The 25,918-nt window shown below is 37.9% G+C and overlaps 1 protein-coding gene across 18 annotated transcripts in view; it reads right to left on the bottom strand.

Moving 5' to 3' along the window:
- Positions 1 to 25,918, bottom strand: part of CCSER2 (coiled-coil serine rich protein 2) — a 189,929-nt gene that overhangs the window by 82,796 nt on the left and 81,215 nt on the right. For 14 of the 18 annotated variants that reach the window (NM_001351290.2, XM_005269905.5, NM_001351292.2 and 11 more), the window contains 2 exons: positions 17,861 to 17,951; positions 9,829 to 9,991 (listed from right to left, as the gene is read on the bottom strand). In NM_001351290.2, the coding sequence (NP_001338219.1) occupies positions 9,829 to 9,991; positions 17,861 to 17,951 (254 nt within the window). Of the gene's footprint in view, positions 1 to 9,828; positions 9,992 to 10,495; positions 10,554 to 10,673; positions 10,784 to 17,860; positions 17,952 to 25,918 lie in introns of those variants that run through there. The other 4 variants (XM_047425368.1, XM_047425367.1, NM_001284243.2 and 1 more) reach the window with 3 other exon arrangements.

Below are 25,918 nucleotides of genomic sequence, written 5' to 3'. Positions count from 1 at the left end.
TGTACTCTTTTCCTTTGCATCTGAGTTTTTGGTTTTTTTGGTTATTTATTTTTTTGTTGTTCTTGTTTTTTTTTTTTTTTTTTGCACTGAATGGGTAAGGAACATGTATTTTACCCACTAGAATTTTTTTTAAAAGCTTATATCTCCAAGATTCTAAAATTCTGTAGCTGTCACATGACAAAAGCACTGCTTTAGAACTATAATCTGAATAGCTAATAATCAAATTAAAAGGTACTTCTTATTTTGTCAAGTGAGAGAGCATTAGAAAGGGAATACACTGAAGGAGACTGGTCTGCAGGCTACGCCATGAGAATCAGGTATGGAATATGGACATATATTGACATAAATGTGATCCAAATGCATGGAACTAATAAATTTAAAATGTTTTAAGGAAGAGTCAACAAGTCTTGTTCACTAACTGAAACAAAGAACTGACATCTAGAAAAGCCACAATAGCCACCTCTCACCTCAGATTTAGGTTTAAATCCTATCTGACAGTAACTAGCTGTTGAAAATATTTATTATCTTTGGGCCATAGTTTCTTTAACTCTCAATGTTCTCTACTGCTCATTGAACAAAGTTTATATGCCTTAGGTTGCATTTCAAATACCTCCACCATGAGATTCAAAATTAACCCTGTATTTTCTCTTAGTACTGAAATGCTACTTTCTTCAGAAGCCCTTCCTGATCCCCTCAACTAGATAAAACTATCATTTTATGATCCTTAATTTGTTTCACAGCATAAAGAAACCTATATACTTTTCAACTCTAATTGGATTGTAAGCCCTTTGAAAACAGAGCCATATCTTATTAATTTTAATATTATCTGCATAGATGATCTGAGTCCAAATTCAGCTGCCACTTACTAGCCACACAACACACAGGGCAAGTTACCAAATCCCTCTATGCTTCATTTCCTAATCTATAAAATGGGCAAAATAACAATACTTGTCTCCTTAGGTTAGTATAAGACTTAAATGAGGTAATATATGTTAAAGTGCTTGGACTAATACATAATATATAGTAAATATTAAATAAAAATGACTTACTATAATATTATTAAGTTTCCAACCTCTTTATCTTGAAACATTTCTTGAAATAGAAGTATCAAAAGAATACTACAATGAACAACAATATACCCTTCACCTATATTTACCAACTGTTAAAATATTGACACATTTGCTTTGCATCTATGTATTTGTTGCTAAACCATCTGACAATAAATTAAAAGTGACATAAAATCCCACTGGGAGAAACACATGAAGTTTTCTGGGGAAAAAAATCAATATAACAGAGAAATCTAAGAGACAGAAAGAGGGAAAGATGGAACAGAAAGCAAATATATAACAGGGATTATTTTCAGAAAATAAAAGGAGACTATGAAGATAGGAGGGAGCGGGAACACGGGACAGAAAGATAATGAAGATTTTAATCTCAGAATTTGAGATTTCAGATTCTGAGAAGATGATGCAGTTTCCACATTAAAAAATAAATCTCAGAATGGGAGGTAAAATCACTTTCTAAGACTAAAGACACAAATCCAGGGGCAAATGTGTAAGAAGGGTAATAAAAAATAAGAGATGAAGGGGGAATTACTGGCCATAATCCCCCACATTAAGTTGATACATTTGTACCTCTGTATAAATTTTAACATTCATGAATTTCTAACAGAAACTCCGGTAGTGAAAGCAACATGAAGACTGCAAAGCTGCTGTGGCATGAACACACTAGAATGCTAGTAGCCATGTGTTAGTGAAGTGAGATCTTATGTGGCCGATCATAGCCCAGGCAGGCAGGTAAATATGAAGAAATGAACCATTAGAGATATGGGTGAAGGCAAAAATGAGTTCAGTGGTTTCAAAGGCATGAGAATGAAAGCCCACTGTCTCCAATATTATCTAACCTTGCTCTTTAAGTGCTGCCAATAAAATCAACAAGATAAAAAAAAAGATGCAAACTAGAGAAAAGAATCTTGAAGAGATAACCGTCTTTACCCACTTAAACTGAATTCACATACAGTAGCAGAACCTGATATTAAACCCACAAGCATACAAATCATTGTTGCATAATTATTTAATGCAGTTTTAAAGGAATTTCTCCAAATTCTATGGCTACACCCATATACTTACAAATAACTTTATTCTTCCCACTCCCAACAGAACTTCTTGATTACTAAGATGTGTGATTTCATGCTAATCTAAAAGTTTGTGATTTATAGGTTAGACTGGCAAGTGCAGATGTTTGTATATCTGTGTGTGTATACTTGTGTATGTGTGTGTGTGTGTGTATGTGTGTGGGGTGGGGAGATTTTTCTTCTTCATTTCTTATGTAACCTGAGTCACAGTTTTGATTTCATAAAATCATTAGTGTTTCATCACCATTAATAAAAACTTTATACTAAAAGTTAAATGTACGTATTTTTATGTTTGTGGTAACATTTTAAGACAATCCCAATCAAAATTTCAGCAAGTTATTTTGAGGATATCGGCAAGGTGATTCTAAATTCTTTATTAGAACAGGCAAAAGACCCAAAATATCCGAAACAATATTGAAGAAGAAGAAAGTCGAAGGCCTAACACTACTCAACTTCAAGACTTACTATACAAAGCTACAGTCATCAAAATGGCATGTGTGGTATTGGCAAAAGAACCGACATATCAACTGAATACAATAGAGAGCTCAGAAATAGACCCACATATACACAGTCAATTGATCTTCGACAAAGGAGCAAAGGCAATTCAAAACAGAGTATAAAAGATAGTCTTTTCAACAAATGAGACTAGAAATGGACATCTACAAACAAAAAGAATGACTTTAAATCTTTCACAAAAATTAAGTCAAAATGGATCAAAGGCCTAAATGCAAAATGCGAAACTATAAAATTCCTATAATATGAAAAGGGAGAAAATCCAGGTGACCTTGGATTTGGCAATGAGTTTTTTGGATATAACATGAAAAGTGCAACCCAAGAAAGAAAAAATGGATGTTGAAAATGTTAAAAATTTTTGAAAATCTGTCCTGCAAAAAGTACTATCAAGAGAATAAGCCACCGACTGGAAAAAATTATTTGCAAAACATATATCTGATAAAGGATTGGTATCTAAAATATACAAAGAACTCTTAAAACTCAACAAGAGAATAAACAACCCAATTTTAAAATGGGCAAATAGCTAGAGGCCATTATTCTAAGCGAATTAACGCTGGAAGAGAAAACCAAATACCACATGTTCTCACTTATAAGTGGGAGCTAAACATTGTACTCACAGACATAACAATGGTAACACAGACGCTGGGGACTACTAGACAGGGGAGGGAAAGAGGAGCAAGGGCTGAAAAATTGTTGGGTACTATGCTCACTACCTGGGTGATGGGATCATCTGTATCCCAAACCTCAGTATCACATAATATATCCATGTATATGTGATACAAACCTGCGTATGTACCCACTGAATCTAAAGTAAAAGTTGAAATTATAAAAAATAAAATAAAAATAAGCAAAGATCTGAACAGACACATCACCAAAGAAGATATACAGATGGCAAATAAGCATGTGAGAAAATGTTCAACATCATTTATCATTAGGGAACTGCAAATTAAAACAACATTGAAATACCACTACATACCTAATAGTTAATGTCCAAAGCATAGTACCAAATGCTGATGAGGATATGGAGCAGCAACAGAAGTTCTCATTCATTGCTGGTGGAAACGCAAAAGGGTAAAGCAACTTTGGAAGACAGTTTGGCAGTTTCCTACCAAATTAAACATATGCTTCCCATATGACCCAGCAATAGTGCTCCTTGATATTTACCAAAATGAGGTGAAAAATGTACGCCCGTGCAAAAATCTGTATATAAATGTTTACAGCAGTTTTATTAATAATTGTTAAAACTTGGAAGCAACCAAGATGTTTTTCAGTAAGTAAATGAATAAACAAACTGTAGTACAGCCATACAACAAAATATTATTCAGTAATTTTTTTTGAGACAGGGTCTCTCTCTGTTGTCCAGGCTGGAGAGTGGGGTGATCTCGGCTCACTGCAGCCTCAACCTCCTGGGCTCAAGTGATCCCCCCACCTCAGCCTCCCAAGTAGATGGGACTATAGACACGTGCCACCACGCCCAGCTAATTTTTTTGATTTTTTTGTCAAAACGAGGACTCAATATGTGCCCAGGCTGTTCCTGAACTCCTGAACTCAAGCTATCCTCCTGCCTTGGCCTCTCAAAGTGCTGAGACTGCAGGCATGAGCCACTGCACCTGGCTAATTTTTTTTTTTAAATGAGATGCCACAAAAATATATAGAGGAACCTTACATGTATTTTGGTAAGTGAAAGAAGCCAATCTGAAAAGACTATCTACTATCTGATTATAGCTCTCTGGCATTCTGGAAAAGGCAAAACTGTAGAAACAGCAAAAAGATCAGTATTTACCAGGAGTTCAGGAAAAGAAGGGAGGGATGAATAAGTGGAACACACAGAATTTGAAGGGTAGTGAAACTATTCTGTATGATACTGTAATGGTATGGCATTATACATTTGTCAAGGCCCATAGGATATACAAAACAGAGTGAACCCTAATATAAACTATGAATTTTAGTTAATAATAAAATATCAATATTGACTCATCAATTATAATACAATCATGCAAGATGTTAATCATAGGAGAAACTGTATCTAATGGAAGGTGAGAAAGCATATGAGAACTCTATTTTTGCTCAATTTTTCTGTAAACCCAAAGCTGCTCTAAAAAATAAAATCTATTAGTTAAAAGGAAAGAAAGAAAAATAAAGCATGACAAATGAAGAGAAACACTGCCAGAATAACAGAGATTTCTAAAACTCCATTCCTCCATTAAAGCACTAAGAACACTGGCAAATTTGTCAAAATCAACTTTTTCAGAACTCTAGAAATCAGCCAAATGCTTGCAACAACTAAGGAGCATTTAATCAATAAAAACTGCTGAATCTCAAAGAAACAGCAAGCTCTGTGGCATTTTAATTTATCCAATAGCCACACCCATCTCCTTACCTTTGTGGTAGCTTGAGAACCAAAAGCATTACAACAAGCATGGCAGCTATGAAATCCAGCAGTCACTAGAGATTGGGGGACAAAATGGGTTTAGAACTCTCCAAAAAGCACCACTCCCAAAGAACTGCTATGATTTGATCTCCCTGGCCGCTCCCTAGAAAAAGCCCATTCTCAGGAGTTGGTTTGAGCTGATTCAAAGCTTGTTCGGTAATTCCCTTATCCCTAGTGCACTGCTTAAAATCTCAGCTGCCTGAAATGGCAATATCAATTGGGACAAACAAGAAGCTGACCAAAAATCATAAAAGGAAAACCTGAGGAAAGAAATGTCCACAAGAGGCTTTGAAATGCTCCAATATAGTCTTGGGAATAGAGAAGAACATATACATGTATAGGCTGTGTATGTACATGCCAAGGAAATACCAGAGAATCCCCTAATCTTCCACCTTTGGCTGACTTTGAAACTCTAAACAAGCAGGAAGTGAAGGCCAAGGCAGAGCTGCAAACTACTTACAGGACTGCAGGTGTGCCTAAGCTGCAAACTACTTACAGGGACTGCAGGTGTGCCTAAGCAAACACACAGAGCCCCCTGGTGGAGGCTGGGAGACTTACTAGTTCAAGGCATTCAATGAAATCTCCATCCAACCATTAGCTGACCACTAATCAAACCAAGCAAAGACGTCAAATATTTTTTTAAAATACAGACTTTTTACAGAATCTGTCTAGAAAAGTCAGTAAACAACCACAAAAAAACACAACAACAAATCCTGGCCAGGGAGAAATCTGATTTAAGTAGTTTTCACATTATTTGTATTTTTTTTTTTTCAAATTTTTTGTGACAAGCAAGGAATGATGCTCATACATTCCCGTAGTTAAGTGGCCAGAGCGAAGTGGGGAGGGGCAGAAAGAACGTAACTAATGACCAAACATGTCCCAAATTTGATGAAAAACATTAATCTGTATATCTAGGAGGCTCAACAAACTACAGATATGATAAACTAAAAGAGAGGCGCATTATAATTTAACTGTTGAAAGCCAAAGAAAAAGTGAAAATCCTTAATGCAGAAAAAAAGCTGGGGGGGGTGGTGGTGGCAGGGCGGGGGGACTCATCATGTGGAAGACACGCTCAGTAACATTAACAGCCGATTTCTCATCAGAAAGCATGGGAGTTGAAATATTACAAGGAACACTGCCAACCAAGAAGTCTACATCTGGCAAAACTATCCTTCAAAATAAAAGAGAAATTAAGACATTCCCAGATAAACAAAAACAGAGAATTTATTGCTAACACACCTTCCCTACAATATATAGTGAAGTTGGAGACTTGAACACCTCACTTTCAATAATGGACAGAACAATTAGAGATATATGAGAAGCAGAAGATTTAAGCAACATTATAAACCAACAAGACCAAAAAGACATCTACAGAATATCTATAAAAATTAAATTAGCAATCCAAAAAACTGCCACAAAGAAAAGCCCAGGCCCAAATAACTCCACTGGTCAATACTACAAAACATTCAAAGAAGAATTCACAAAAATCCTTCACAAACTCTTCCCAAAAGTAGAAGTGAAAGGAATACTTCCCAATTCAATCTGTGTGGTCCTGATATCAAAACAAGACAAGGATATCTCAAGAAGAAAAACAAAACAAAACTACAGACCAGTATTTCTTAAGTGTGTATATATATATATATATATATATATATATACACATACACACACAAAAAAAATCTTCAACAAAATACTAGCAAACTGAATCACACAACATACCAACACAACACGCAACATACCAAAGTATTACTCCACATTAGTAGAATGAAAGCGGAAAAAAAAGATTATCTCCATAGACACAGAAAAAGTAATTGACAAAATCCAACACCCTTTCATGATAAAAACACTCAACTATCCATGAATGGAAGGGAACTTCAAACTGATAGAAAGTATCTTTTAAAATCCACAGCTAACATCACATTAACAATAAAATATTTAAAATATTTATTTTCCCCCCATATCAGAAACAAGACACACCTATTGGCTTTCACCACTTCTACTCAACAGAGGTTGTAGCCATAGCAATTATGCAAAAGATAAAAAGACATTTTTATCCAAAATGGAAAGGAAAAGGTAAAAACTATTTGCAGATAACATATCTTGTATATAGAAAATCCCACAGCTGGGGTGCCCAAGCCCCTAACCAGGGACCAGTACCAGTCTGTGGTCTGTTAGGAGCCAGGCCACACAGCAGGAGGTAAGCAGAGGGCATGCATGTAAGCATTCCTGCTTATCTGACAGGAGCTCCACCTCCTGTCGTATCAGCGGCAGCATTAGATTCTCATAGGAGCACGAACCCTATCGTGAGCTGCGCATGCAAGGGATCTAGGTTGAACACCCCTTATGAGAATCTAACTAATGCCTGATGATTTGAGGTGGAAGAGTTTCATCCCAATCCCAAAACCATCCCCCAACCTCCCACCCATGGCCTGTGGAAAATTTGTCTTCCAGGAGACTGGTCCTTGGTGCCAAAAAGGTTGGAGACCACTGTCCTACAGGACTAAGCAAACAGAGGGTTAAATGACTCATGTACATGAACACTGCAGCCACTCAGGACTGCAGCAAAGCTTATAATAAAGAGGGAAAGTGGGCTAAGGGCCAAGCCTTTTGTAAGCTCCAGGTAGGAACCAGTAAAGAAGAGTTGATACAGCCAAATGCCCTAAGTCTCAAAAAATGGGACTTACAATCACTTCCTTTAGAAGTGACAATGAGAAATGAGGACAAAAACCCCATCTCTAAACAGTGAAGTATTAGGGTGACTGGAAAATAAGAATCTTTGGTGTAAAAATGTTACTGGGGAAGTAGTATATTTGGGAAAGAGCTAGGTTTCAGTTATGATTAGGAGAATGTAGGTGAAGAGATGAAGAATGTGAGTTTGCTAGGATATGAGAGAATTCCAGATAGCATATCAAAAGGTGTAGAAAAAAAGGAGGTCTGGGCAGAAAAGAAGAGAGGAAGATTAGGCCAGGTAAAAAGACAGAGCAGTATTACGATGAGAACATGAGTGGATGTATTAGTTCTCAACCACCAGTCTTCCCAACACCCCTGAGTTACGGATAAGGCATGATCCTATAACTAATGACAATAATAACGGGAGTTAAGGGACAGAAGAAAGCGAAGCAATACTCAGGAAGTTTTAGAATGGAAACAGGACTTTTGCACATGCAATATTGAAAAGGCCCTGGGGCTAGTATACCCAAACCTTTCTAATATTAAGGCACAGAGAGAAATTAATAGTTTTAAGGTATGCTGGGGTAAGGCTCGTCTTAGAGGAGGTTTCTTTTTGTACCACCCATTCCATAACTTGCTGAGGTGGATGTAGGTGTCTCAAAACCAGCACCAACACCCCAAAGATTGAGAGTTTCAATAAACGGATCAATCTATAACCATTCACAACAAACCAGTGTACCTCAGCCCAATTGTTGGGAAGTTCTGTGCTAAGTCAGTCAAATTAGCAACCCCTAAGAATGCTGTGCATTTTTCCCTCCTCAGTAAGAATCACTCATGTGGATGATCCACACCATAGTCCCTTAAAATACACTAAGTAGAAGGGATTTGTGATCATATGTTTTGGAAAATGGCTACATATTATATTTTTTACCACCTTTTGCAAAATCACAGTACTATATTTATACACAAAAGCACAATTGAGTCCACCATTTAAAAAATGTTTATGATCTATTCATTCTCATACTAATTTGACCAGGGACCCTCTCTTTTCTTACAACTGCTGACATCCAAGGAACACAGTTGTTTGAAAATGTTGCTTAACTTTTCTGACAAATTAATTCAGGAAAAAAACACATCCTTTATCTTATGCGTACTGTATATGTTGTAATAAATCAAATTTTATTCTTTGCTTTTGCTGCAAAGAATCTTAGAATCAATTTTTTCCCTCACTTTAGGAACTACACAACACCATGTTTTTCTTCCATTATTTCTTTAAACCAATTGTACTATTTGTATTGTAAATGCACTCCAAAATGACCTGAAATCCCTGTGGAATGAGATAAGAAAGTGAAAAGGAAAAACTAATAACTTCCACAGAGTGCCTACTGTAAACTAGACACTACTCTAGGCACTTTTATCCCTGATTCTCAAACACTGAGATAAAGATATTATTAATTATGTTTTAAAGATAGTAAAGTGAAGCAGAGACGGTTTAAATAAATTATCTAAGCTTGCAAAGCTAATCTGCGCCAGGTCAGGTTTTGATTCCAGGTTTGAATGACTACGGAGCCTCATTACAAAATAAGATCTGACCAATTTAAAGACTATCCTCTACTTTGAAAAAGAAAAGACTAAATAGTACCTTCAGCACTAAACAGTACCTTCTTCTGTTTTTAATGGTACTTGTGGAATTTTTAAATTTTAACTTATTACATGAGCAAAAGACCAATCACTTGGCACTAATTTTAAATATTATTTGGAAAAACTAAGAAATTTAACACAGTTAACATTTAATCATTTCCAAATGACAGCTAGAAAATCATACCATAACTTGAAGTCCAAAAAGCAGATATAAATAGAGTATTTATATTTAAGATAAAACTAATGAAAAAATATTTGGGCCAAAAAGAACAAATTAGACATATTATTCCAATTAGTACCACATAAAACTTGAAGTGCTTTTTGGTGCCTCTAAAAACAAACCAGACAAAAACAGGTTTTTTGAGGGTTCTGGGAAAGGGAGAATTATAATTCAAAATCAGAGGACAGCAAATGAAATCTAAGTCAGAACAGTACTTACCTGCTCAAGTCACTTTTTCCATGGTGATGATAGTGGTCAGGGTGGCTGAGGTGGTAATGCTCCTGTCCACTCCACCTCTGGGGTGGCCTTTTCCAAAAACCTTCCTGAGGCTGCCGAACATTTCTGTCTGGTCGGTCAAAGCGGTTCATATTGTCACACTCCACTAGACAGATTCAAAAGCAAAAGACTATAAACATGTACATACTCCATAAAAGTTGACTCTTATAGCTTGATAATTAAATGCTGTAAATCAAATAAAAATAATAGTTTAAAAATATCAGCCATTTATGTTAATCACAATATCAAGATTTCTAAAAGCATAACCAGTTCTTCTGGTGAAAACTGAACTTAATATTATTCAAAATGAAGTAAATTATAATACTTTTACATTACAGTCATGTAAACAATTAACTGCCACACTGTTTTAAAACAGGCAAATTAACCTTGAAATCAACATTATACATTTTAAACACTCATAATCAGTTTTAGGTGGTTTTCATCACTGTCACAAGTTGGCTCTGATTTCAGAATGAAAATGACAGGAAACAGCAGATTTTTAAGAGAACTCATTCCTATAAAGGACTGCTACAATTAATTTTCACTGATCTCAAGAAGCACAAATTAACTTTTCATCACAAACAAATCACACTTTTAAAATTAAGCTCACATTTTCGGAAAGTAAGACGCTTCAATCTGCCTGCAGTAAGAGCTTGTTCAAAAAGTCTAAAATGCCACTGAAAACAAAGCCAGTAGTTTGCAGCAACAAACAGTACACTCCCTTAAACCCAAATACCACAAAAACACGAAAAGAATCTCTTTGAAACACCCCAAGCTTCTTCACTTACCCAAATACTTTTTCCTCACATATCTGAGCACTCACTAAGAGAGTTACTTTGCACAAGGGAGACATTGTGTTACCGGCTGCCTACTCAGACATAGTTGTACCCAAGGCACTGCTGAACAGGCCTTCCTTCCTGCTCAAAACCCAGCCCTCCCTGTGGGAAGCAAGCCCAGTTTGCCCTGTGACTCCATCTTCACTCAGTGCTTACATAGCTACTGACTTAGGACGGTTACTAAAAATACTGCTAAACACTAACCCAAGCCACAAAACAGGAAAGGTTTCTCTAGTCTGAGAACTACTACATGAGAAAGTTCAAGTCCTGCATGTTCAGAATTCCTTGTAATAAAAAGCTATAAAAATCAACATAATCCCCATTAAAAAAAAAAACCTCGCTTATTTAAATTACTGTTTCACTGAACCAAAAACCTGAATTTGAAACATGACGAGTGTTTCATTACAGTATACCAGATAAAAACAAACTTTGGCATTCCAAAAAAGGATATTGTAGTTTTAAAAGTATAGATGTTCAGTTCTCATATATACTGAATTCATTTTAATGTATTTCCTCTAAATGTATAACAATTTAAAACATTTTTAAAAGGACACTGAAATTTTGTTTATATTCATTATAGTCACCTTGAGGAAGAAGAAATATACATTTAATAATGTGAAAAAAGAATTTTTGTTCATGTTTTAAAAGAAGCCTTACATTTGAACTTATTTCAATTTGTTGTCATCTTACAGGAATAAACCAAGTTTTTTTTTTTTTTTAAGTTCAGTTATAGAAAACTTCACAAATAAAGGCATGGTGACCATTATGTCCAAAAATGTCAGAAGTAGAAAATAAGATAGCAAAAGAAAATTTAAAGTAATCATCTCGAGAAGGTTTTTCTTTTTGTTTGAGACAGGTTCTCAATCTGTCACCCAGGATAGAGTATAGTGGTGCAATCATAGCTCACTGTAACCCCAAACCCCTTAGCTCAAGTGATCCTTCCACCTCAACCTCCACAGCAGCTAGGACTACAGGCACAAGCCGCCATGGAGAGTCTTTTTTTTTTTTTTTTTTTTTTAAGAGATGGGGACTTGCTATGCTGGCCAGGCTGGTCTCAAAATCCTGGCCTCAAGGGATTCTTCCACCTCAGCTTCCCAAAGTGCTGGGCTTACAGGCATGAATCACCATGCCCAGGCTTCAAGATTTAAAATTGCTTTTAGCTTAGTGCCTTTAGCAACATCATATATAAATTCATATTTGTATTATATTCATAGATTCAGTTAAGACCCAGTTAAGTATTTCTACATGGTATTAAAATGTTTCTTTAGTTTAAGTAACTCTATATAACGAAGGGATAATCTACATTTAACTGTTCTGAATTCATATTTTTCCTCAATTCAGGAAAGAGAAATTCCACTCACTCCCAAAGCAAGAAATATTGTCCAAAAAACCACTTGATAGGTTATTTGAATGATATCCACACAGTAGTCCACACAGAGGAAGAAGCAAGCAAATCGGGCGAATAGGCCAGGAGATGGGTTAAATATTGTGAGCAATTACAATGTAGAAACTGATGTGGTGCTTTTGTATTTGCTAAAAGTTATGGGCTCCACATATAGACTCCAAATTGAGGAATCTTTATTGAAACTTGAACTCAAACATGGACATAATGGTAAGTAAGCATTAGAAGCAAACATTTGCCATAACCACAAAAGACTAATGTTCAAACTTAGACAAGGTGGGCTTAAACTCTAGAGAAATGACTGCTCCAAGATTCTGCAGGAAGTATCATGTTTAACTTCTCAAGGCATCCATCAATCACGTGTTTATATATTTTTAAACGCTGTTAAGAAGATAATGTGGAATAACACTGCTGATGGTTTCTTAGAAAAGATTAAAGGTTCCCTGACAAAATAACTGAAACAATAGAGAAGAAATGAGAAAGCAAACAAAATTACAAGACAGAGACAAATTCGGTTTCCAGAGACAATTTTTTTTTTTTTTTTGAGATGAAGTCTAGCTCTGTTGCCTAGGCTGGAGTGCAGTGGCATGATCTTGCCTCACTGCAGCCTCCGCCTCCCAGGTTCAAGCTATTCTCCTGCCTCAGCCTCCCGAGTAACTGAGATTACATGCACACATCACCACGCCTGGCTAATTTTTTCTGTTTTTAGTAGAGAAGGGGTTTCACCATGTTGGCCAGGCTGGTCTTGAACCCCTGACCTCAAGTGATCCACATGCCTTGGCCTCCCAAGTGCTGGAATTACATGCGTGAGCCACCGCCCCTGACCCAGAGACTGATAAATTTAAATTTAAAACAGGACAGATAAGATTAAGAAAGAAAAGTCCCTCTGAATGTGTGTAATACCATAAGGAATGATGGTGGCTTGTGGCAAACTAAAGAAAAAAACTGGTGAACTTCAAGGTATCCCAGTTCAAAAACCCAATGTGCTGATCACAACCAGATGCAGATGCAGGTGAGACTGGGCCCTAACTATGAGTTGAGAACCCCAGCTAGAGAAAAATATAGGCCTTCTGAAGGAAGTCTTTAGCATGAGATAAGAAATAAAGAAGAAAAAAGTGTGATTAGCAAAGTATTCTGAGGGGGAAGTCAAGCACCAAATTTTCTGTTTTACCCTTAAGCTCAAAAATAAATTTCTCTAAATATTAAAGGACAACCTTACAAATGTTTTATTGATACAGGCACTAAAATATCAACCTTAGACCCCGCAAGTGTTAGCTTACACTCAGGGTCACCAAAACACTCAGGTGTGGACTTCTCTGTTGGGGATCAGAACATGATACTACAAAGTGTGGCACTTTGGCAAGATGAGTACTTTGAACTGAGGGAAACTGGAAATGCCTCAGAGGCAAGGTCTTTCAGATCTACCTATCCTCCTGTTTCCTGCCCTTCTTCCTTCTGCAAAGTGAGTTACAGAAACCAGAATTCCTCTCCCCAAGGCAGGTCATAGAAACTAAAAATCCTCTCCCTCAAAGGAAGCCCTAAAACCTAGAAAGGTCACTCACTCTCTTTTCCTTTCTTCCTTGAAGACTCTCATTCCAGAGGGGTTCTGCACCATACCTGGGAGGCAGGAATACTACAGAGAATCTGAACAGACAGGCCTTGCTGGGTCACCCTCCCCGCCCTCCATCTATCACCATTAGATCATAACCTTTTGTCCAATCACATTTCTATATAGCTGTCCATTCTTTACCAAGCCTAAGCATAAAATCAGGGTTTTCCCTAGGTCTTTGGGTCTTCATTTCTGAAGAATCCCGTGTCATGTACCATTTTGATTAAATAAATGTGTTCCACTTTTTTTGTTAACCTGTCTTTTGTTATAGGTGTGTCAGTCATGACCCTTAAGATGGTTGAGAAAAAGTATCATACTTTTCTGCCCCTACATTCTCTGACATGGTTTGGCTCTGTGTCCCTACCCAAATCTCACCTTAAATTGCAATAATCCCCATGTGTAAAGGGCAGGACCAGGTGGAGATAATTGAATCATGGGGGCAGTTTCCTCCATGATGTTCTGGTGATAGTGAGTTCTCATGAGATCTGATCATTTTATAAGGGGATTTTCCCCCTTTGCTCAGCACTTCTCTCTCCTGCTGCCATGTGAAGAAGGACATGTTTGCTCCCCCTTCCAGCATGACTGCAAGTTTCCTGAGGCCTCCCCAACCATGCAGAACTGTAAGTCAACTAAACCTCTTTCCTGTATAAATTACCCAGTCTCAGGCAGTTCTTTATAGCAGCGTGAGAATGGATTAATACAATCTCCAAAAACTTTCCTCCAATAACAGTCTCCAAATCCTAACTCACGAAAGTCCAGAAAACATTTGACCAACATTCTCTCCTTATTTTTGCTACTACATATGCCACATTTAATAGGGAAAGATTAACTGCACAAATGCATTCACCAGAAAAATACTCTCCTCATGGCTTCTTCCATGAAATGATAATCTGACAATTGTCATTCATAATGAGGTCACAGCAAACTTGTATCCAAATTAAAGATTTCAGTGAGGTGCCACTCTTCTGTGGGCCAAAACTCCACTGATACTGGGAGAATTAGTGGCAATTCATTATAGTTCATAGTGACCAATCTAAACCTTTTTTTTTTTTTTTTTGAGATGGAGTCTCGCTCTGTCGCCCAGGCTGGAGTGCAGTAGCGTGATCTCGGCTCATTGCAATCTCTGCCTCCCGGGTTTAAGCGATTCTCCTGCCTCAGTCTCCCAAGTAACTGAGACTACAGGCACGTGCCTCCACGCCCGGCTAATTTTTTGTGTTTTTAGTAGAGACAGGGTTTCACCATGTTAGCCAGGATGGTCTCAATCTCCTGACCTTGTGTTCTGCCCACCTTGGCCTCCCAAAGCGCTGGGATTACAGGCATGAGCCACCATGCCTGGCCCCCATCTAAATCTTTATCAAACCTGCATAATATCATCAACAACCAGAAGCTATAAAGGACTAAAACCTGTAGTGGAAAGCACATTATTAGACTCCCTAAATCTCTATCAGTCCCTGTAACATTCTCATCCTCCCAGCCAAAAAACTGTAATGGGTGTGTATAATTGTTCGGGACTTAAGAGCCATAAAAAGAAAAATTTCCCACTTTCCTATAGTACCAAACCTAGATACTATTTTATCTTTGGTGCCTCAGGAGGCTACATATTTTAGATCCATGTTCTTACATGCTTTCTTTAATGTTCCTTTACTCAAAATAGCCAATAGTTGTTTGCCTTCTTCTAGAAAAATCTAAAGTACTGTTTATGTGGGATGTTCCCAAGAGTTCCCTCCTACTTTTCACAAGTCCCCAATCAAGACCTCAAAGACTAAATTTCCCTGTGATTCTACTTTTATCTAATATTTGGGTAACTTTCTGTTGTCTGCTAAAGATAAGGCAGGCTCTAAGATCCTTTCTTTCTACTTCCACTCAGAAAGGGCATAAAGTTTCCAAGAGAAGTTGTTACAATTCTGTCAAAGTAAAATGCATTACCTAGCATGTGATTTATTCCGAGGAAGTAAATCCCTCACTCCTCACTACCAGCCCTAAAAATTACCATTAAATTTCCCAGATCATCAAGTCTCATTATTCTTCCCCTATAACTTTCCAATGGTTTATGTTTTTCCTCTGTGTTCTACAATATTTTTCTACTTGATCTTTCAAGTCACTAATTCAGATTCAATAGCAGTGATGCTTTCTGTCATTTACTGAATAAACTGTTCTGTTGGGAAGTCTTGTCTTTTAACTCCAGAAAGAATTGTGCTGCAATTCAATCTAAGTGATTATCTCCTTTGACTACTCTAATCCTCAGGGTTCTGTCATTTTCCTTGTTCTTCCTCAGTGTTGCCTGTGATTTTTTTCTTTTTCAGCACTAGAACTCAGCTGTTTGCCAGAGCATACTAAGCGACAGCAGAACCACAAAAAGGTGTAACATTCTCTGTCTCTGTGAGACAGTGGTGGATATTGTCCTCAACTTTTCATTCTCTCCTTACAGAATTATACATGCAATGTCCTCTATCATGTGCAGAGCCTTCATTATGAAGAGTACACTTCCCAGTCTCAAAGGTGTTAGGTTTGGCCATGTTACCTGCTTTGGCCAAAAGAATGTGCTTAGAAATAAGTGTCCTCTGTGAATGAAGATAGTTGTCAGGTTAGCTCCAGGGGTGTGGGTGTTTTTCTTTATTTTATTTTTTTTTTTTTGAGAAGGGAGCTGGTTTTATTTTAATTTTATGGGCTCCTTTCTCCCGTTTTTTGGTGATCTAACTGCATTGGTTAAAAGCAGCTAAGCAGTTCTTTAGAATACGCTCTCTAACCAAATCTAACTTTATTTAGACAATGTAGATGGACAAGCTTGACTGTTTGAACTAAAATGGGAACATTAAACAAATATCACAGCCCTCACTAACAACATTGTGACTTTGCTGTCAAGTGTAGATTCCCCTCTTCAAAAAATCTTGTGACCATTTCGTATGGCTTATCTGGAAACTTCTGTAAATCTTACGTTTTAGTAAAATATTTTTTGTTATTCTAAAAAAAAAATGTGCTAGTTCTTAGCTAAGACTTTAAGAGACATAATATGCATGTTTCTGCTCATCCTGTTGCATTTCTGCTGTCGTGAGAACAACCTGCCCCACAGTGGTCCTGGTCTCAAAATGAAGAAACATGGAACAGACCTCAAGCTAGTCCCATAGCCTGAGCTTCCCAGCTAATCCTTAGATCCATGAATGAGAAAAATACACGTTTATTTTGAAAGCAACTGAGATTTTGAGAATGCCATACAGCATTCTGGCAGGAAAAATAAAAGCCTCACCAGTATGACAAATATAAGCTTGTAGTAAAGCAGCAAAGCAGGCTACTAACACCCCAGTGAAGCACTGGAACAGACACCTCCCCTCTCTGAAATATTCCTTGCATTTTTCTAGCACCATGGATAAAAGGATCCCACTCACCATTTTCACTTTATTTCCAGCCCATGGAGGCCTGTGAGACCAGGCAAATGTTGATTGACAGGAAATTCTCAGATTTCTAAGGGCAGCCCTCTCCCCAGGAGTATCCCCATTTCAACCTTTGCCTCCAGGGCTTTTTTATGCTGGTTTCTGGTTCTCCAACAGTCTTTAAGATAAAAAAAATCCTACAAGTGCTATGTCACTGGAGTGAAAAGAACCTAAGGCCCCTCTCCCATATGGATTACCTAAAGCCTCACCCCAGCAGTTACTTGGCTCTAGAGAGAAAGATAGACTAGAATTGGGAGTAAAATGTACAGAATGATCCATTCAGAAGGTCATCACATTCCCAGAATTAATCTCTATAAAATATTTATCAAATTAAGATATTATAGTGTTTCACAAGTAAGATGGTATGTTTCTGTAAATACATTTCTTCCTAAAATCAAAATGAGATAAAGGGAGGAAAAACTGGGTACATACACAGAAAAAAAGACAACTCTTATCTGCAACTTACTTTATGGTATACAATGTTATTGGATGATAGAGAATTATATCTAAGACTTACAAAATCAGGTTTTAAATATTTAAGTTAGTTTGCAAATGAACCTATTTTACCTCACTTAAGACTGATTCTCAGTCTGAAAGGCTCCATTAAGATTAAGAAGTCTGCAAGTAACAAATATCAAATTGGCTACAGTCGAGTAGCTCAAGTATATACCTCTGAAGGTTCAATATTGTCTCAACTTACCATTTTCAAGAGGTGCATCCTCAGGCAGATCCACATCAAGCATAAGATCATCATCCTCAAGGTCACATGATTCAAGATTATTCAAAATATCCTGTGAACAAAAGCAGTAAAAAATATACCATAATCTAGCTCTAAGGATATGTCAACCATTATTTTTTAAAATCGAACTATATGATATCCTGAATTCACTCATTATCTGCACTGAAAGAATAAAATAGGTTTTCAAGTTTTTTAAAAATAAAAATAGATTCAACTAGTTTAATTAAGCTATTTCTAACATCCTTCTCCTAGTCTTCCTCCTAGTCTTTCCTCCCCAATAGATTTTTATTTTCATATTAAAAAACTTTTAAGTCCATGTTTTTAACATCTTCCCTGGTAAAATACTGAAGAATCAAAAATAGTAAAGAATTGCCCAAAATTTATTCATAATTGGTATAAGAGGTGAGAGGCTGTTCTATTATTTCCAGGGATTGGACCACTTACATAAATAATAAAATAAGTCTTTAACAATGTGGTTATTCCATTTCCTTTCTTGTGCCAAACCCATCTCCTGTTACCATTAAGCACTCTGTCACCTCCTTGGCTTGACTCAATTTGTTCTTTTTCTATGATAAGACTAGACTATTCAACCTAGCATATGCAGTCCCTGCTGGCTTTTATTTGCAACCTTACTAGCTATTATCTCTTCTTAAAAAAGTAGTGTTTTATTTTCAAAGACTGTTGTTCTGAAGCCTAAAGAACTGAATAAACAAAAACTAAGGTTAAGGTAATAAACTCAGTTTGACCTATAGCCCACTGGTGCGTCCTTACAATCCAAGAATGAATCCAAATATCATAAGACCTTTCCTTAGTATATACAAGTAAAAAGATCAAAAGTCCAACAAACTTTTAAAAGACTGAGACATCATGGTCATAAAAAACTCTTTTTTTTTTGAGACGGAGTCTCGCTGTCACCCAGGCTGGAGTGCAATGGCGCGATCTCGGCTCACTGCAAGCTCCGCCTCCTGGGTTCACGCCATTCTCCTGCCTCAGCCTCCCGAGTAGCTGGGACTACAGGCGCCCACCACCATGCCTGGCTAATTTTTTTGTGTATTTTTGGTAGAGACGGGGTTTCACTGTGTTGGCCAGGATGGTCTCGATCTCCTGACCTCATGATCTGCCTGCCTCGGCCTCCCAAAGTGCTGGAATTACAGACTTGAGCTACCGCGCCCAGCCAAAAAAACTCTTATAGAAGGGAAATATCTACTTTATTACAGACAATATGAATAAAATTAAAACTGTTTCCTATGTTGGGTGTTCCATGCAAATACATTCAATTTTGTGTTGGGCCCTCCAAAGACTAAAAGTAACTAGAAAAATTATTTGAAAAACAAAATCTCTGGAAATTTTTTTTTCATTTTTAAAAACTCCATTGCAGAATGTTTGACATGCAATTAAACTGTACACATTTAAAGCAAACAGGAGAGAGTGCCAAGATGGCCAATTAGAAGCAGTTACAGTCTGCGGCACTCACGGAGAGGAATGAAAGCAGTGAGTGAACTCAGCACCTTCAACTGAAATATCCAGGTTCTCACACTGGGACTGACTAGACAAACAGCCTGACCCACAGAAAATGAAGAAAAGCAGGGTGGGGCAACAGTCCACCCGGGAGCAATGTGGAGCCAAAGGAACCCCCAACCTCTGCCAAGAGAAGTGGTGAGTGATTGTGCAATCCCACCTGGGGAAACCACACTTCTCCCACAGGTCTTTGCAACCAGAGGATAAGGAGATCCTCTCATAAGCCCATGTCACCAATACACAGAGCTGTGTGGCGTCCAGGTAGAGCAGCAGCTTGGGCACACACACAGAGATACATGAGTTTTGCATATTCCACCCCCGGGATTACCAGCAAGGCAGATCTGTCCCTACATACCACTAGGAGTGGAGCTGAATCCAAGGATCCAAGCAGCATCGATCTGCAGGCCCACTTGCACGGCACCTTACACGTTAAGACCCACTGACTTGGAATTCCAGCCAGCCAGCAGTAACAAGGAGTCTGCCTGAGAAGGACTGAGTTTCCAGGAGGAGGGGCAGCCGCCATCTCTGCCGTCTGGTCAACTCAGCTGATCCAGTCTGCTGGCTCAGGAGAGTCCAGACAGTCCGAACAAGAAAGTGTCCCCCACAACGCAGCACAGCTGTGCTAACAAAAAGCAGCCAGACTACTTCTTTAAGTAGGTCCCTGATCCTGTTTCTCCTAAATGGATGAGATCACCCAACAGGGTCTCCAGCCACTTCCCACAGGTGCCTCCTTCAGGCTGCCAACAGGTCAGTAACCTCTGGAATGGAGTTTCCAGAGGGAGGATCAGGTTGCCATCTTTGCTGTTTCACAGCCTTCACTGGTGATATCTCCAGGTAAGAAAAAAACTGAGGCAACTAGGGTCTGAAGAAGAATGCCAGCAAACCCCAGCAGCCCTTTGGAGGAGTAGCGTGACTGTTAAAAGAAAAACAAACAGAAAACAACAGCAATAAAACCATCAACAAAAAAGACCCCACAAAAACCCAATTCAAAGGTCAGCAACCTCAAAGATTGAAGGTAGATAAGCCCATAAATATGAGAAAGAATCAATGCAAAAACGCTGAAAACTCAAAAGGCCAGAGTGCCTCATCTCCTGCAAATGACCGCAACACTTCTCCAGCAAGGGCACAGAACTGGGCTGAGGATGAGATGGCTGAACTGACACAGTAGGCTTCAGAAGGTGAGTTAACAACAAACTTCGCTGAGCTAAAGGAGCATGTTATTACCCAATGCAAAGAAGCTCAGAATGATAAAACAACACAGGAGCTGATAGTCAAAATAGCTGGTTGAGAGAGGAACATAACTGACCTGATGGAGCTAAAAATCATAACATGAGAACTTCCCAATGTAATCACCAGTATCAATAGCAGAATAGACTAAGTAGAGGAAAGAATCTCAGAGCTTAAAGACTATCTTGCTGAAATAAAACAAGCAGACAAGATTAGAGAAAAAAGAATGAAAATAAATGAACAAAACCTCTGAAAAATATGCAATTATGTAAAGAGACCAAACCTATAACTGATTGGGATACCCGAAAGAGATGGGGAGAATGGAACCAACTTGGGAAACATACTTCAGGATATCATCCAGAACTTCCCCTGTGTAGCAAGACAGGCCAACATTCAAATTCAGGAACTGCAGAGAACCCCAATAAGATATTCCAAGAGAAGATCAACCCCAAGACACATAAACATCAGATTCTCAAGGTCAAAATGAAAAAAAAAAATGTTAAGGGCAGCCAGAGACAAAGACCAGGTCATCTACAAAGGAAAGCCAATCAGACTAATGGCAGACCTCTCAGTGGAAACCCTACAAGCCAGAAGAAGTTGGGGGCCAATATTCAACATTCTTAAAGAAAAGAATTTCCAACCCAGAATTTCATATCCAGCCAAACTAAGCTTCATAAGCAAAGGAGAAATAAGATCCTTTTCAGACAAACAAATGCCGATGGAATACATCATCACCAAGTCTGCTTTGCAAGAGCTCCTGACGGAAGCACTAAATATAGAAAGGAAAAACCATTACCAGCTACTACAAAAGCACAATGAAGTACACAGACCAAGTGACACTATGAAGCAACCACATAAACAAGTCTGCAAAATAACCAGCTAGCATCATGATGACAAGATCAAATTTACATACAATAATACTAACCTTAAATGTAAATGGGCTAAATGCCCCAATTAAAAGACACAAAATGGCAAGCTAAATAATTAGCCAAGATCCATCGGTATGCTGTCTTCAAAAGACCCATCTCACATACAAAGACACACATAGGCTCAAAATAAAGGGAAGGGGAATATTTACCAAGCAAATGGAAAACATAAAAAAAGCAGAGGTTGCAATCCTGGTTTCTGACAAAATAGACTTTAAACCAACAAAGATCAAAAAAGACAAAGAAGGGCATTACATAATGGTAAAAGGTTCAATTCAACAAGAAGAGCTAACTATCTTATTAAATATATATGCAGCCAACATAGAAGTACCAAGATTCAGAAAGCAAGTTTTTAGAGACCTACAAAGAGACGCAGACTCCCACACAATAATAGTGGGAGACATTAATACCCCAATGACAATATTAGAAAGATCATCAGGACAGAAATTTAACAAAGATATTCAGGATCTGAACTCAGCTCTGCATCAAGTAGACCTGATAGATATATACAGGACTCTCCACCCAAAAACAACAGAATATGCATTTCTTCTCATGGCCACAGGGCACTTACTCCAAAATTGATCACATAATCAAAAGTAAAACACTCCTCAGCAAATGCAAAAGAACTGAAATCATAACAGTCTCTTGGACCATAGTGCAACCAAATTAGAACTCGAGATTGGGAAATTCACTCAAAACCACACAACTACATGGAAACTGAACAACCATCTCCTGAATGACTCTTGAGAAAATCATGAAAGTAAGGCAGAAATCAAGTTCTTTGAAAGTAATGAGAACAAAGAGAAAACATACCACCATCTCTGGGATGCAGCTAAAGCACTGTTAAGAGGGAAATTTATAGCACGAAATGCCCATATCAAAGAGCTAGAAAGATCTCAAGTTAACAACCTAACATCACAACTAAAAGGACTAGAGAACCAAGAGCAAACCAACCCCAAAGTGAGCAGAAGACAAGAAATAACCAAGATCAGAGCTGAACTGAAGAAGATGGAGACACAGAAATCCTTCAAAAAAAAAAAAAAAATCAATGAATCCAGGAACAGTTTTTTGAAAAAATTAATAAAATAGACAACTAGCTAGACTAGTAAAGAAGAAAAGAGAGAAGAATCAAAGAAACATAATCAGAAATGATAAGGGGAATATCACCACTGACCCCACAGAAATAGAAACAATCATCAGAGAATACTATAAACACCTCTATGCACATAAACTAGAAAATCTACAAGAAACAGATAAATTCCTGGACACATACACCTTTTTTGGGAGAAAAGCTGAGTAGCTGGAAGAGAAGCTGAGGCAGGGCTTACATGTCTGCTAGACTTGCTGGCTCCTTGCTTCTAGCACTCCCATTATCTCAAGTACCCATATGTTTCTGGTTCACTTGATACACCATTTCCTTTCAACCCCCACATCCTCACCACCTGTCTCTTTGAGCACCAATAAATAGCATGGGCTCCCAGAACTCAGGGCCTTCACAGCCTCCACATTCACAATGGCCCCCTGGTCCCACTTTCTCTCTCAAACTGTCTTTTTCTCATTCCTTTGATTCCACCAGACTTCGTCCCCCCACGACCTGCTGTTGGGTCTGATCACCCCAACAACCCTCCCAAGACTGAACCAGGAAGAAACTGATTCCCTGAACAGACCAATAACGAGCTCTAAAATTGAGCCAGTAATAAATAGCCCACCAACCAAAAAAAAAAGCCCATGACTAGACAGATTCACATCTGAATTCTATCAGAGGTACACAAAGAAGAGCTGGTAGCAGTTCTACTTAAAACTATTCAAAAAAATTAAAAAGGAGGGACTCCTCCCTAACTCATTCTATGAGGTCACCATCATCCTGATACCAAAACCTGGCAGAGATACAATAAAAAAAAAGAAAACTTTAGGCCAATATCCTTGATGAACATAAATGCAAAGATCTTCAACAAAATACTGGCAAACAGAAGGCAGTAGCACATCAAAAAGCTTATCCACCTGGGATGCAAGGCCTGTTTCAACATACGCAAATCAATAAATGTGATTTATCACATAAACAAAACTAAAGACAAAAACCACATGACTATCTCAATAAATGCAGAAAAGACCCTCGATAAAATTCAACATCTCTTCATGTTAAAAACACTCAATAAACTAGGCAGTGAAGGAACATACCTCAAAATAATAAGAGCCATATATGACAAACCCACAACCAATATCATACTGAAAGGGCAAAAGCTGGAGGCGTTCCCCTTGAAAACCAGCACAAGACAAGGATGCCCTCTCTCACCACTCCTATTCAACATAGTACTGGAAGTTCTGGCCAGGGCAATCAGTCAAGAGAAAGAAATGAAAGGTATTCAAATAGGAAGAGAAGAAGTCAAATTATCTTTGTTTGCAGATGAGATAATTCTATATCTAGAAAACCCCATCATCTTAGCCCCAAAGCTTCTTAAACTGATAAGCAACTTCAGCAAAGTCTCAGGATACAAAATCAGTGTGCAAAAATGGATAGCATCCCTAAACACCAACAACCGGCAAGCTGAGAACCAAATCATGAATGAAGTCCCATTCATAACTGCCACAAAAAGAAGAGAATACGTACGTATTAACACAGCTAACAATGGAAGTAAAGAACCTCTTCAAGGATAACTACAAACCACTGCTCAAAGAAATCAGAGAGGAAACAAACAAATGGAAAACCATTCCACACTCATGGATGGTTGGTAAAATCAATATCATGAAAATGGCCATACTGCCGAAACGAATTTATAGATTCAATGTTATTCCCATTAAACTACCATTGACATTCTTCACAGAATTAGAAAAAAACTATTTTAAAATTCATATGGAACCAAAAAAGAGCCCAAACAGCCAAGACAATCCTAAGCAAAAAGAACTAAATATATAGGCACCCAGGAGCCTATATACAGGAGCACCCAGATTCTGGTGGCATCATGCTACCTCACTTTACAGACAAGGCTACAGTAACCAAAACAGCACAGTACTGGTATAAGAATAGATACATAGACCAACGGAGCAGAATAGAGAACTCAGAAATAAGACTGCACACCTATAACCATATGATTTTCCACAAACCTGACAGAAACAAGCAACAGAGAAAGGACACCCTATTTAATAAATGGTGCTGGAAGAACTGGCTGGTCATACGCAGAAAATTGAAACTGGACTTCTTCCTTACACTACACATAAAAATTAACTCAAGATGGATTAAAGACTTAAATGTAAAACCCAAAACTATAAAAACCCTAGAAGAAAATCTAGGCAATACCATTCAGGTAAAGATTTAGGCACAGGCAAATACTTCATGATGAGAATGCCAAAAGCATTACAACAAAAGCAAAAATTGACAAATGGGATCTAATTAAGAGCTTCTGCACAGCAAAGGAAACTATCATAAGGGTGAACAGACAACCTATGGAATGGGAGAAAAATTTTTGCAATCTATCCGTCTGACAAAGGTCTAGTCACTAGACTCTACAAGAAACTTAAGCAAATTTACTAGAAAATAAGCAAACAATCCCAATAAAACATGGGCAAAGGACATGAACAGACACTTCTCAAAAGAAGACATACATGCAGCCAACAAAGATGAAGAAAAGCTCAACATCAATGATCATTAGAGAAATGCAAATAAAAACCAAAATGAGATACCATCTCACACCAGTCAGAATGGCTATTATTGAAAAGTCAAAAATCAACAGATGCTGGTATGGCTGTGAAGAAAAAGGAACACTTTTACACTGTTGGTGGAAGTATAAATTAGTTCAACCATTGTGATAGATGGTGTGGTAATTCCTCAAAGACCTAGGGGCAGACATGCCATTTGACCCAGTAATCCCATTACTGGATATATAATTGAAGAAATATAAATAATTCTATTATATAAAGATACATGCATGCATATGTTCATTACAGCACTATTCACAGTAGCAGAGACATGGAATCAACCTAAATTCCCATTAATAACAGACCAGATAAAGAAACTGTGGTACATATACACCGTGGAATACTATGCAACCACAAAATGGAATGAGATCATGTCCTTTGCAAGGACATCATTAGAGTTGGAAGACATCCTCATCAAACTAACGCAGGAACAGAAAACCAAAGACCGCACGTTCTCACTTACATGTGGGAGCTGAATGATGGGAACACATGGACACATTGCAGGGAACAACATGCACTGGGACCTAGCAGAGGGCAGGGGGTGGGAGGAGGGATTGGATCAGGAAGAATAACTAATGGATGCTGGGCTTAATACCTGGATGATAGAATTATCTGTGCAGCAAACCACCATGGCACACATTTACATGTGTAAGAA

This window comes from Homo sapiens, chromosome 10, assembly GCF_000001405.40.
Source record: "Homo sapiens chromosome 10, GRCh38.p14 Primary Assembly".
In the NCBI taxonomy this organism is placed as follows: Eukaryota; Metazoa; Chordata; class Mammalia; order Primates; family Hominidae; genus Homo; species Homo sapiens.
Note: the sequence above shows the minus strand (reverse complement) of the source record. Positions and strands in the feature narration are given on the sequence as shown.